Raw genomic sequence first — 13,907 nt, 5'->3', positions numbered from 1 at the left:
CTTCTGAGCTTTCTGTCAGATCTTTGGGGTCCAGTGCAATTAAAGTCACATACTTCTTAAGTGATGCAATATGTCTTCTTGATTTTAAATGGATTTTTTTTTAAAGGAAAGAGAAATTTATTATTTTTCTCTAGCCTTTATTTCACTTAAGAAATACTGATGTTTCATCATAAAGTAATCTGTATTTATGCATCTTTTTTTAACTTCAAGTTCTTTAAATAATATCCCTCTTCTCCAAAATAGTGTTTCATAATTACAGATAACATTCTTTGTGACCTTTGTACTACTATAATGCCCCAATTGAGAAAAACGAACTCAGGAATTTTAAAAAATTATTACTGTTACTAATAATGGTTTATATTTCTTTTTATGGGTTTCAAAGCATCTTCATGTAGTCTATGTCATTTTAAACTACCTAAGCACAGTGTCACCCTTGACCATTCATGCTGCTATTATTGTTGGATTCATTTTTGTTTGTGATGGGAATTTGCAAGTCTACTTTCCCACATATTCGTTTCCAGGATTGATCGTTGTGAAGCACTTGCAGTGCTGAGTTATGAAAGTATGTTCAACGGTGTCCCCTTTACGTTAGCTTTTAAAAAGGGGTCCACTAGCATTCACAGTCATTGTGTTCCTCCAGATGTGTGCTGCTGTTTGCCCCTGTTGATGATGACTCCTGTATCCCTTTTGTTTGCAGTGTCTCAGTTTGAAACTGAATTCTACATCAGTGGACTTGCACCTCTCTGTGATCAGCTTGTTGTACTTTCGTATGTAAAGGAGATTTCAGAAAAAACGGTAATTATTTTCTCCCCAGATACAAAGGCATGTGGGGGTTCACTTTTAGCATTACACCCAGATCAGGTTGTTCATCAGTAGCATACGCTATAATCTGAGCAGAACTTTCTGACCTATAAAATAAGGTTGGCAGAGATTACCCTTTAGACCTGACATATTTACTTTCCGGAAACTCTACTCATTGCCTGCCTTTGTTCCTATTGCTGAGCCAAAAAAGAGTCTTTTTTTTCGACCTCTCTTGGTATATTAGTCAAAAGGAATGAAGGATTCCTCTTGCTGAAAGGGGAAGAAACTAAGCTGACACTGTGCATTAGCAGAAATGACAGCAATGAACTTGATCAGCAGCAACAACAGGGGTCCCTGTGGTCAGAGGGAATTACAGAAAGGGCATTTCATTATTTTCTTTGGTCCAGACATATTTGTTTACTTCCTAGTGGGCTGGTGATTCTAAGTAGCTTGATTATGGCTTTGAAATGGATTGTTGTGAAATCTCAGTTATCAGTGCAAATAATGGTACATCAAAATCTGTGGCTAATAAAAAGCAGCAGATGATCTAAATTTTGTTGTGCGTGTCTTTGGAAGAAGCTTATATATTGCCCAGTGGATGGGTATCCACACCCAGTCTCCCTTTGAAGCTGAGGACGGCCCCATTCCCAGCTTGTCTTTATTATGAGAGTCCAGGGGTCCTGCCAGCACAAGAATAGGGGTGGCTTCAAGGCATAAAGAAGGAAAGCATACTGTAAAGGATTTTCTTTTGGATGCTGTATATAGAAGAAATTGTAATTGATTCTCTAGTCCTTTACAGTAAGTAGGCAAGTGGACTATCCTTGTTTGTATCCTTTTTTTTTTTTTAAATGGCAAGAAATAAAATGGGGGAGAAAAACCCTGGGAGCCCTGGTTTTGAAGTGGTAGCTGCTCTTGAGCGTTTCTCTGAGCAAGCACTTGCATTAGGAAGCCATCACTATAGTAACCTGAAGCTCTGGGTGCCCATGTTGCTAGGCAATGAAATGCTATAGACTTAAGTGAACACTCAGACCTACTAAAATCAATAGGGTTGGCTTCTAGCCCTATTGCAGGACATCAGTTTGCTATTATTTTATTTATTTTTTGAAAATAAAAGCAGTGGCTCCTGGGGGAGTAAATAGAATGCTTTTTGAGGAGGAATGCAGGAAAGATTGAGAATGTGATTGGAAGAAATAAAGAAGCAGTAAAACGAAAAAGGAGAAGCCTAATAAACAACTGAGCAAAGAAAGAAAGGAAACCTTTGTTAATAAAAGAGTATTTGAAGGGAATAAATGCCAAAGATAGGCCAACCTCATAGAGCACGTAGAAAATGGACTTTTTCCAGAAGAAGAAGCGAGGGTTTTGGAGATGACTGGAACATGTTTATGCCAGTGTATGTAGATACTCATTTTATAGAACATTAAAGTACACCTTAAATCCTTAAACACAGAATAAACTCATAAAATTAAGGCAAAAGGAACAAAGAGGTAAGCTCCCTTCCCCCTTTATTTTTTCATACTGAAAAGGTGGTTTAGCGACATTGAATACAATTTGTTTTATATCATTCAGTATTATCCCCCAAATAGCCCCCAGATATCCACGTGATACCTTTCACGTACATGCATGTTTTCACATAGTTGCAGGGATAGTCACATGCTACTCTGCATTGCCCTGTTTTCATGGGCATTATTCCATTTTCCCTGCGTATGTCTGTGTACTTGCCACCATCATTGTGTTTAGTGGTTGTGTACTATTCCATCTGCTTGGTACACTTTAATTTATTAAGGTGTTCTCCTAGTATTTTACTTTTCTTTCATTCATTGATAAAGCACATGTGTGTTAGAAATTGTGCTGGGCACTGGAGATCCAAGATCAACAAAACCAGATTTCTGCTCTTAGGGAGTTCACAGGCAAGGGCTGTTTGGCCAGGGAACGAAAGTATAAAATGAGATTCACATTGCTGATGCTTTTCTTATACATATAAAAGAGCCTTTTCTATGGTCTAGTGAAGTGATTTTCTTTTTATTTTGTTCAAAATATTTTTTTATTTTGCTATTCTGATTTTGATATTTTTATTGTTACAGTGGTCAATTTTTAAATATATTTCAGTTTTCTCCATTTTTTTTCAGTTGTTTCAAAGTTTAGCAATTTGTAATTTCTCCACAGATCTGATAGATTTTTCTTCACTAGTTGATCTTTTATAGTTGCTATTTTATTTTTGGAATGTTTTCTGATTGTAAGTTTCCTGAGGCCTTTCCCACCATGCAGAACTGTGAGTCAGTTAAACCTCTTTCCTTTATAAATTACCCAGTCTTGGGTATTTCTTCATAGGAGTGTGAGAAGAAACTAATATGTATGGCTAACTAGAATTAATTTGTATGATATATAGAAATGTAATTTAAATTAATGTTTCTCTCTTTTCCCCCACTAGGAAAGAGAATACTGTGCCAGGCCTAGACTGGACATCATCCAGCCACTTTCTGAGACTTGTGAAGAGATCTCTTCTGATGCTTTGACAGTCAGAGGCTTTCAGGAGAATGAATGTAGAGATTATCATTTAGGTAGGAGATATGAAAGATCTGGCTGATATGCTTTTTTAATGTTTTTTTCTCCCCCTTCCTACTTGCAATAAATGGAATTTAAATTAAGGTGCTGAAAGAATCTTAAGAGAATACCTGCGTAGACTGTGTGTGCTGAAAACAAGGACATTTGGATGCAGAGATGTTGCAAAACTTGCATAAGCTCCTATAGTAAAAGGGAAGGCTAGAGTTCAGACCAGGACCCGGGGGAGGATTGGGCCCCTTGTTTTTTGTTCTTGTATTTTTTCTATTGTCCTAACTATTTAATGTGACACATAATTTAATGTCAAGCTGCATGGCTCCATGGTTGTCATATCACTCCCATTTTATGTGTCAGGAAAGTTCGCTCTGGGGTGGCAGAGAAGTTGTCTTTCTTGTTTGTAACTGAGTGCTCAGAGCCTGAAAGACTTCTGGCACATTTTAGGTGTTCAGTGAATATTTGTTGAGTGGACGGAGAAATACACTTAGTCACTGCTCATAAATACAGGGAGAACCATTAATATTTAGTCATACCAGAGACATCTGTGTTTGGCTGTTATCATACCCTTGTAAAATATATTAATGAAAATAGAACAGTTCAGCTTTGTAGGAATGCTGTACTACTTTAAACACAATTGACATTTGTTGAGAATATTTTCAGTTCTCATTGTGGCCAAAGGAAATGAAGAAATATTCTATATATGTTTAAACTTTCTTATATGAAGACCCTAATCCATTGAAAAACATAAGAGTATATTCTAGACTTGGCAAAAAGCAACTGTGATTCACAACTGAAAAGTGTCCAATCTAGGTATTTGGCTCAGAGCAAACTCTCCTGCACACTTAGAAACCCTTCAGAACAGGTTTTATAATTGAATTCTGCAGGAAACCCTCAGATTGGCATTGTGCACAACATGCTGAAATGATAGATTATGTCCCTAGGGCTTGGGCATCTGTCATTTATGCCTTAGGTGGCCTTGACCTTGATGAGGAGGAAACATTTATCGCTGACCATGGGGTGTAATTGTTCTGTAAAAGTAGAACAATGCTGTAAATGGCCACAAATAAAATTTATATACAGTAGATGAATTCTAATATGCAGTAGACATAGAGAATTTTTAACACTTTTTCAGCTGAAGTCAGAGTGTTGATGTATTAAACGTAGAATTTTAAACTCACCTTATTTTTTTTTCAAGTTTTTTAGTATGTCATTCCCTCCCTTTCTGTCCTTCTCCTTCCCTCTCTTGCTTTTTGGTCAAGTATTTTTACACTTAAATATTTTTAAAAGCACTGAAATACGCTTCTGTCATTCTTTACCCTGTCTCCCACACTTACCTTCCAGCAGAGCCAAACACACAACAAAGATAGACACATTTTCTGTTCGCTCTTGGGTTGGGTAACCTAACCAGGTCCTCTGAAACCATTGCCAAGTTTTCTGCTGTTCAGTCACCAAGTCGTTCCTCTCTTTTCTCACCTACAGAATACTCTGAAGGGGAATCACTTTTTTACATCGTGAGTCCGAGAGATGTTGTAGTGGCCAAGGAACGAGACCAAGATGATCACATTGACTGGCTCCTTGAAAAGAAGAAATATGAAGTACCCTTGATTTTACTTCTTTGAAAGTATTGACTCATCTACAGCATAGAGAGAGAAGATAAAATGTTTTTGTAATAAATCTTTTATGTAGTCAAAGTAGAGTTTCCCAAGCCAAAAATATGTAGGAAGTTAATAACTTTCTAGTACCCCCTTCAGAAATTAGGGAACCAAAAGATTGCAATGGATTGACTGGCTTTCCTGTTAAGTGGGGGAGGAGTTGGGAGTGGAGGGAGGAGGTGAGTTAGATCTAGACTGTTGGAAGTTTCATTTTTTGATTTTGTTCAAAGAAATTAGAGATAGTATTTCAGAAGTGTCTATTTAGATTTAATGAAATCGTTTATTTTATACTTATCACATTTTTACTCACTTAGGATGGTTTGAACTATCAGTTTGGATAGAATGATGTTGTCCACTTCATTGAGGTTTGGCTTAGATTAATTTGAATAGATAATGCCCAATATCGCTTAAAAAAAAAGAAAAAAACCATTTTTCAACTTTAATAGCTACAAAGTTACGTTCTTAGATGGGCTTATATACTAATTTAAAACAACATCCACAACAAATAGTCTACGTATTTGTTGTACTAAGTTTGTCACCATCTGAAAGGATTTGGAAAAAAATTTTTTTTTTCATTTATAAACTATTTAAAGTCCAGGTATCGATACCTAGTTCATAACCCAGTAATTACCATGTTACTTTAAATCCAGTAGTTTCTCAAAGAAATAATTGTATGTTTTAAATATTTATGTTAAAGTAGTATTTGTAAACTTTCCAAAATAAAAACAAAATCAGAGATTTTTCAAAGACTTAATTTTAGATATACATAAACATGCGTATAGTTCACTTTTTTATTGAAACATAAGGGAAAATGCTCCTTTATCAATATGTCATAAAGATCTAGAAGACAGCTGCCTTTTTTTGTATGGAGACTAGGAGACTTTGTTGTATTTTGATTTGTGTCTGAAATGTGATTCCATTGTCCTAATGAGGAAATGAATTCAAATGGAAGTGGGAGAAGTCTTCATTTTGGTTGACTGCCTTTGAGTTTGAATTCAGTGAGGTTCATTCAACCATAGCATTAACAATTCCAATGCTTCAAGCAAAAGCCATGGGAAAATGGAGCTTTATTCGTGTAGTGCAGAATGCTAAACCATAATAACTATAGTGTTTATAACCTCAATATCTTTCTCTCCCACCTTCTCCCATTTTCCCTCCCTCCTTTTCTGCTTTTTTTTTTTTTTAAATCATCCTTATGTTTGGAATAAAGGAAGCATTGATGGCAGCTGAAATTAGCCAAAAAAATATTAAAAGACATAAGATTCTGGTAAGTGTGCAATTTGTTATTTGAAACATAATTTTATCTTTCAATAAGTTATAGTGAGACTGAAAATAATTTGAAAAGAACAGGTTTTTCCTATCTTTTGAGAATTTATTTTAAACTAATTCCCTAACCTATGAGATCAAAATATTTTATCAAATCAGTTTCTGCTTGTAAACAAGAGACTTGAACACCTGCTAGGAGGCAGTTTTAGGTAATTTGGAAACTGTATCTGTGGAAAACACTTTAAATACAGAGCTTTCTAGTTATGTGTATGAAAGTTTCCCTAAATCGTAGGTAAAAATCACATTATCACAAAATTTATCAAAAAAAGAGAGGTTTCCTAAAACTGCATTGCTTTGGTGTTTCCATAATAACAGACTCAATTGATTTTGTTATGGAAACTAATCTAGAGCATCAAATACATTTTTATTACATTTTGGACTCAGGAAAAATAGAATGACTGAAAGCCCCTTTCCTTGTTAACTGTGACAGTGAATGTGCAGATGGAGAGCAGAGGAACTCACATCCTGCACATGTGAAGGGTCCTTGGAGACCATCTAGCCGAGTTCCCTTTTTTACAGGTGAAAACTGGAAGCTCAGTCTTTTATGCCTATTTGGGTTTCAGTACAAATTCTTTCTGCCTACATTTTCCCTACCGTAAACTTCTCTGTAAAACTCCACATGAAAGCCTGAATTGTCAAAGAGTGCAGAAGCAAAATAATTTAGGAATAACAGGAGAATAGAAAACCAGAGCATCTTAAAAAAAAAAAAAATCCAGCCAAAATTGTGGAGAATAAGCAAGGATTCTCTAGAAATGGAAGAGAATGCATTCCGGCCCTTAGAGTAGTTAACATATGTGAAGAGGCAGAGAGGTGCCACAGCTTGGCCTGCTTGGTTATGTGGGCAGTTGAAGGCTTTTTTTTTTTTTTTTGAGACGGAGTTTCGCTCTCGTTGCCCAGGCTGGAGTGCAATGGCACAATCTTGGTTCACCGCAACCTCTGCCTCCTGGGTTCAAGCGATTCTCCTGCCTCAGCCTCCCGAGTAGCTGGGACTACAGGCATGCGCCACCACACCTGGCTAATTTTGTATTTTTAGTAGAGACGGGACTTCTCCATGTTGGTCAGGCTGGTCTTGAACTCCCGACCTCAGGTGATCGGCTTGCCTCGGCCTCCCAAAGTGCTGCTATTATAGACATGAGCCACTGCACACAGCAGTTGAGGGGTTTACTACATAGGTAGCAAAGGTCAGATCCTGAAGTGCCGTTCGTAATTAAGAGCTTGCTTCTCTCTTGGAACATCTAGAAGTCAATTTAAGCTTTCAGACATCAGATTTCCCTGTTAGAAAGATTCTCTGATGGAGATGGGGCCAGAGGAGGGCCAGCTGAGATGGAGATCAATCAGGAGGCTTCCTAATCCAGGTGGAAGGTCATGAGACTTACACAGAATCAATAGGATTGGAGAGGTGAAGATAGATGGAAGATACAGTAAACTTTTAATCTTTGGGATGTGGTAACTGACTCTGTGTGGATGAAAGAATAAGAGTAAAAATCTAGGCTGACTCCCAGGCTTTGGGCTTGGGCCTCTGGTTTGGTGCTGCCATTTACTGATTGATAGAGATACCCTGTGGAAGGAGAAGCAGGATTGGGAGAAATGATGAATCCTATTTTAAACACATTAGTTTTAGGAATCTGTGGGACATCGTAGTGGAGCCCAGGAAAGAAATTTGGGCTGAAAAGTTGAGTCTCAGTTTCTGCACAGGACACATTAGGGTCCTATTAGCACTACTGACTGTAACCTGTTTATACTCTTAGCTTGCTTTATGTAATTATGCTTGCTTCTTAAGCATATTCATATTTAAATGTATTTATATTTTCATACATTTTAGAGTGAGTGTCATGAACAGAGGACCATGAATGGAACCATCAGGAATGCTGTCATTCAAGGGATGATGCATACATAGTAGATTTGGAACAGCCAGAGCAAGGTCATTTCATGGGAGCTGAGAGAGGAGAGAATTCCAGGGTAAAGAGAATTAAATGCTTGAGTAGTGGAGGTAAGCAGGTCAGAAGGGTAAGACGAGGTCAGCTGGTCAGTTGTACACTGGATTTGGTGATATGAAAGTAGTGAATTTTCTGTATGTGTATTATTTATTCTGAACATGTTGTAGGGAGTGAAAAGTGAATAGGAGATTATAAAGTACGGTTCTGAGTATAGATTATCAGGTTAGCTGTGAAGGGGAAGAGAGTGAAGGCTGTAGCTGAGGCTGTAGCTGGGGCTATGGCATCCTGGGATGATGGTAGTTTTTGGGTATTTTGTGTAAGAGAGGCACTTAAACATGCTTATGCTGAGGGAAAAGAGGTAAAATAGAGTTGACATAAAAGGTTGATATAAAAGGAAGAGGAGGAGTGCAGGATAAGCTCCACAGTGGAGAAGCATGGACGTGAGGAGAAAGGTTGGAAGGATTGACTCTGAAAAGGAGACATTCTTTCTCTGAACCTTGATGGAAAGAACCTGTGTAGAATTGTTACGTGTGATCTGTTTCCAGAAAAATAAGGAAGTTAGACACTCTTTCTTCACTTCTGTTCCTATAGACTTGAAATATGATTTCTCACATAGTAGTTATTAAAGTAAAAATTTAATATACTAAAAATGATGGGTATTTTGCTTCACTCTTGAAATGGGCATGTCCTGTACATTAGTCCTATACATTAGTTATGAATAGATTATTTTTCTCTTAGCATGATGTAATTTCATACCAAACATGCAGAGAAGAAATGGGCTCCTGCCATTTTTTTTTTTGCCATCCAAGAAGGTATTTCTTATGCACCTTTTTGTACATAAAGTAGAAATCAACACCCAACGTTTCTTATATATATCAAGCTTAAGCTTCTGGTGAAAATACTTTTAGGTGCAAATAGTATATGAGAAGATGAGTCATGGGGAGATCAAGCAAGAGCTGTCCTCCCATGCCTCTGGTGATGTTGGCCACCCCAAATCCTTTCAGAACCCAGGTAGAATAAGCGAATAAACATGAATACTCTGAAGCCAGTCACTTCCCTGCTTTCAGCCCAATTTCTTCTGTAAACTGATGGGTTTGAATCACAGGTTTTTCTGAGCTCATATCAACTTTAATATTCCCTATTTCCTTTAGTATGATAGTCATTATTTCATTTTTCTTATAACTTCTCTTCAGACTTGGGGTAGAAGAAGTAGGTAGCTTGCATTCTACAGATGAAGGCACAGGAAACAATTTTATATACATTAACAGTGTGGAATTGTTCGATCATGTTTCTAATATCGAATACCTCCTTTATGAAAAAATGTCTTAAAGGGGGCAGATTAGGAGCCTTTAAAATACTAACATTATTTACTTTTTTTAATGACCTGACCTGTGAATTCTAAAATGTATGAAAATATAAATACATTTAAATATGAATATGCTTAAGAAGCAAGTGTAATTACATAAAGCAAGCTAAGAGTATAAACAGGTTATAGTCAGTAGAGCTAATAGGACCCTAATGTTATGCCCTGTGCAGAAACCGAGACTCAACTTTTCAGTTGTTTCAGTTAAATTTTGACATTTCTTCATTTGGCTTTCTCTAGGATATTGGCTTGGCATATATAAATCACCTGGTGGAGAGAGGAGACTATGACATAGCAGCACGGTAATGATGACATTTTCACAATTATTTGTTAATATAAATAGAATTGAGCATTGCTAACAGTAAAAATAAGCCATTCTTTGCAGTTGACATTTTATTTTTGTACATCTTTCTAACGAGGGTAATTTTTGAATATTATTTTTAAATTATAATTTTTGAATATTAATGATTCCAAGCACAGAATCAGTTTAATGTTTATTATTTTCCCAACTATTTCATTTTTACCGAAGGAGAATTTTTTTTCTCATTATTAATGAGAAAGGTATCAAGAACCATGAAGGATCTCAGACTTTACCTATTTACAGTCTAACAAGTTAGCCTGTCATTTCCCTGGTTGCTGGCAGAAGACAAGAGACTCCCAGGTCAGAGCTAAAGGACTCTGTGAGCAATAGTACCAGCCAAGGTACTGCTACAACAATAGTAGTCAAATAGAGTGTCAACATTTGCCCCGATCCCCAAACCCCAATTCCCACAATGCAACAGAGGGTGGGCATGGAGATCCTGCCCATGCAGTGGGTTGTGATACGGAAGAGGACCCCTGAGCTTAGGGTATCTGAATCTTTTCTAGTGACCAAGAACCCCATGTATTAGTCCATTCTCACACTGCTAATAAAGATATACTCGATACTGGATAATTTATAAAGGAAAGAGGTTTAGTTGACTCACAGTTCAGCATGGCTGAGGAGGCCTCAGAAAACTTACAGTCATGGCAGAAGGGGAAGCAAACGTGTCGTTCTTCACAAGGCAGGCAGGAAGGAGAAGAACAAGAGCCCAATGAAGGGGGAAGCTCCTCATAATACCATCAGAGCTCGTGAGAACTAACTCACTATCATGAAAACAGGTTGAGGGAAACCATCCCCATGATTCAGGTATCTCCATCTGGTCACTCCCATGATGTGGGGATTAATGTTAACTACAATTCAAGATGAGATTTGGGTGGGGACACGGCCAAACCCTATCACCTTGTCTGCCTTTTGTCCTAAAGGCGTCATTTTACCTTTATTGTACTGGGCAGTAAGAAACCTTCCCTTTCCTCAGGAGGGAGACACTATTTGTGTCGTCTCATTTCTAGAGCTGTTTGCTTTATAAGCATCCTTGGAAGATAGTCCAGAAGAAAGTGCCTCTGCTTATGATTCAAAGAGAATTTTCCCAACCTAAGGATGGCAGTTAAATAGAAGTGACTAGACCCCAGGATCCTGGGTTGCAGAGGTCTGTGGTGGGCAGAACACATAAATGTTATGTAGTGGTGTGCAAGTCTGTGTGAGGGGTTCCCACTGGAACTGGCAGTGCCCGCTGCATGACTGCATGGCAGTCCTGGAAGAGTGCCCTCAAGCCTGCTTCTCGTCTCCTGAGGTTATTTAAGAAAATGTGTTTCTTTGATGTGTAAAGTAAGGTTTCATTCATACATAAGCAGTCCTCCAGGTTATATAGTAGGATAGGATTCTAGTTTTCTGAAGTCTGATTTTGTAGTGCATAATTTAAAGCCATTTAGAAAGGTTCTGGCACTTTGGGGTATGACAAGTTTTCTTCAAGGCAAGAAAGGTCTCCCGAAACCAGCAGTGCTCCTCTGGGTAAATGGGAAACTTAGAACAGGCAGATAGTTGGGAAAGCCCCTAGTTATAGTCTTCTGAAGTGATTCATCTTTATTTATAAGCATTTTATATTAACTTTTATAAGTTGTGTTAATTTATGTATGCAACCAAATGAGTAACAGTAATATCTTTATGTTCGTTGGTACTTGAGATAGAAATTCATCAAAACTCTGAGAAGAGAGATTTCTCTAAACCTCTGGGGAAAATGTCTACTTATTCTGTCTCTGTTTGTTTTTTGTTTTTTTAATATATACTTTCTTTCTGCCTGGGATGTTTTTACTGCCAGCAAATGCCAGAAAATTCTTGGGAAAAATGCAGCACTCTGGGAATATGAAGTTTATAAATTTAAAGAAATTGGACAGCTTAAGGTAAGCAAAGCCTTATTTTTAACTCTCAGTTTCTGCAAGTAGTATATTAATATTGCAGTGGAAACAAAGATAATAGTACTCAGCTCTTTTTTAGGACGTGATTATTATCTCAGATGGAAAGAAAAATCAAACTTTTAGAGACAGTTTCAAAATATAAGCCTCGTGTAAAAAAAAATATATAAGATTATATATTTATTACATATACAATGTGTTCACTTATCTCTTTCCAATTCTCTCTGTGTTTAGATGAAGTTTTCATGCTCTTTTTAATGACTTTTGAAAATAGGTGTAATCTCATCCAGTAGGTTATAAAGCATAAGACTTTTTTTAGATTTACTGAATAATATTGTATTTTTCAAGTAATATTTTACCTGCTGAAAGACAGATGGAAAAAATTGACCACCTAGCTCTAATGAATAATTTTGATGTTTCTTTTTTTAAATCTTTCAACTTAGTGCACAACATCCTAATCAATCAATAAAGTATTCCTATATTTGTTTTAAACATTTAAAAATTTTTCAGTATTTGTGGACCTTTTGAATGCTCTCTTCAAGTTATAAATATGCTTTAAAAATTCCCAGTTACTCATCTTGTCAACCGTGTGACTCCTCCTGTCTGCCCTGTAAATGTTACACTTCTCATTGGGTTTATTGGATGGTTTCTGGAGGATTTTATCCAGTCGTGCCTCCCTGTTTACTTTAATGGCTGTGTAACTTGGACCTTTTTTTTGAATATCATGTGATGGCCGTTTCTCCTTGTATATACTGCTGATGATGATAATTCAAGTTAATATAAATCCATTCCTTCCCAAATTCAGTCCTTTTCCATTGAGTCTGTGTTTGTGATACACAATATACCCATTCCCCAGAGTGTATTAGCTCAAAGCCACTGTTCTTGATTAGAACATGTTACACCCCTCCTCATTCTGTTTAATCTCCACTTCTTGTCATTTTTTTCATGTCAATACCAATCGGGGCTCTTCTCTTCCCCTGTGGTACCATTGCCTTAACTTTTGCCTGAGCCATAGCAAATGCCTTCTGATAGATCTGTGGGCAGCCCTAGCCCAGAGTTATCTGCATAAAAAATAAGTCTGGACTCTCACTTCCCTAATACCTGTTGCTTCCCTCCTGCCTATAGAATAAAATCAGAATTCCTCTCAAGACCCCACCTCCCCTTCCTCTCCAGCCTCACCTCCCTTCAGTGACGCCATCTCGCATCTCTGGGCTCCTCTGACCTCCCTGCACACAGATGCATGTTCATGGCTCCACGCCTTTGCTCATGCTATTCCCCCTGCCAGATGTCCTGCCCCTCTCTTATTTTTTCCTGAGAAACCCAGGGCTTTAGTGGGCATGGTTCTCCTCTGCTGCTGCAGCACTGTGCTGACCCCTCTGTTATAACACTTACCACACAATACAGTTATTGTCTGTTTAATTGTCTGCATATCTTTCTTCTAGGACTTGTGAGCTCCTTGGGGATGGTGACCTTCTCTGTCTGTCCCCAGTAAAAAGTGTGGTGATTGGATTGTAGGGCATTATAGGGTCATTGAACAGTATTTGTAAATTTGACTTTTAACACAGTACTGAAAATATCTGAAGAACACAAGATGTATTTTTCCTAATTTCAAAAGATGATTATGAGTTGGTGAAGGTTGGTAAACTCCAGTTGAAGGAAGGAAAGATGAATAGATTACCTGTACTCCTCGATTACTTAAGAAGTCGACTTTTTTCATCTCTGTGACTTTCTCCCTCCTATTATTTAGATTTCTATTAACTCATCAGGAAGAACAGAGAGATAAAGATTAACCTAGGCAATTTTTAAATTCATTCATACATGTATATACTTTTGAAAATATATTATAATTTATTGTTAGAAAGTAGTTTTCATTTAAATCCTGTTCAAAACATTTTTTTCAGAGTACTGTATTCCCTCACATTTTTAAAGTAAAAATATACTTTATGTTTTCTGCATAATTGGAATGCAGTTTTGTTTTTTCATATTTTAATGGACTTTTTT

The 13,907-nt window shown here is 37.2% G+C and overlaps 1 protein-coding gene across 4 annotated transcripts in view; it reads left to right on the top strand.

Annotated features, from left to right (window-relative positions):
• Positions 1-13,907, top strand: part of VPS41 (VPS41 subunit of HOPS complex) — a 186,218-nt gene that overhangs the window by 131,718 nt on the left and 40,593 nt on the right. For 3 of the 4 annotated variants that reach the window (XR_007060008.1, NM_080631.4, NM_014396.4), the window contains 6 exons: positions 698-795; positions 3,230-3,359; positions 4,837-4,952; positions 6,220-6,276; positions 9,876-9,937; positions 11,813-11,894. Coding sequence is in view for 3 of the 4 variants with exons in the window: in NM_080631.4 (NP_542198.2) it covers positions 698-795; positions 3,230-3,359; positions 4,837-4,952; positions 6,220-6,276; positions 9,876-9,937; positions 11,813-11,894 (545 nt within the window). In the remaining variant the exon portion in view is untranslated. Of the gene's footprint in view, positions 1-697; positions 796-3,229; positions 3,360-4,836; positions 4,953-6,219; positions 6,277-8,144; positions 8,295-9,875; positions 9,938-11,812; positions 11,895-13,907 lie in introns of those variants that run through there. The other variant, XM_017011988.2, reaches the window with a different exon arrangement.

This window comes from Homo sapiens, chromosome 7 (assembly GCF_000001405.40).
Source record: "Homo sapiens chromosome 7, GRCh38.p14 Primary Assembly".
NCBI classification, from domain to species: Eukaryota; Metazoa; Chordata; class Mammalia; order Primates; family Hominidae; genus Homo; species Homo sapiens.
This window is presented reverse-complemented; position numbering and strand designations above follow the sequence as displayed.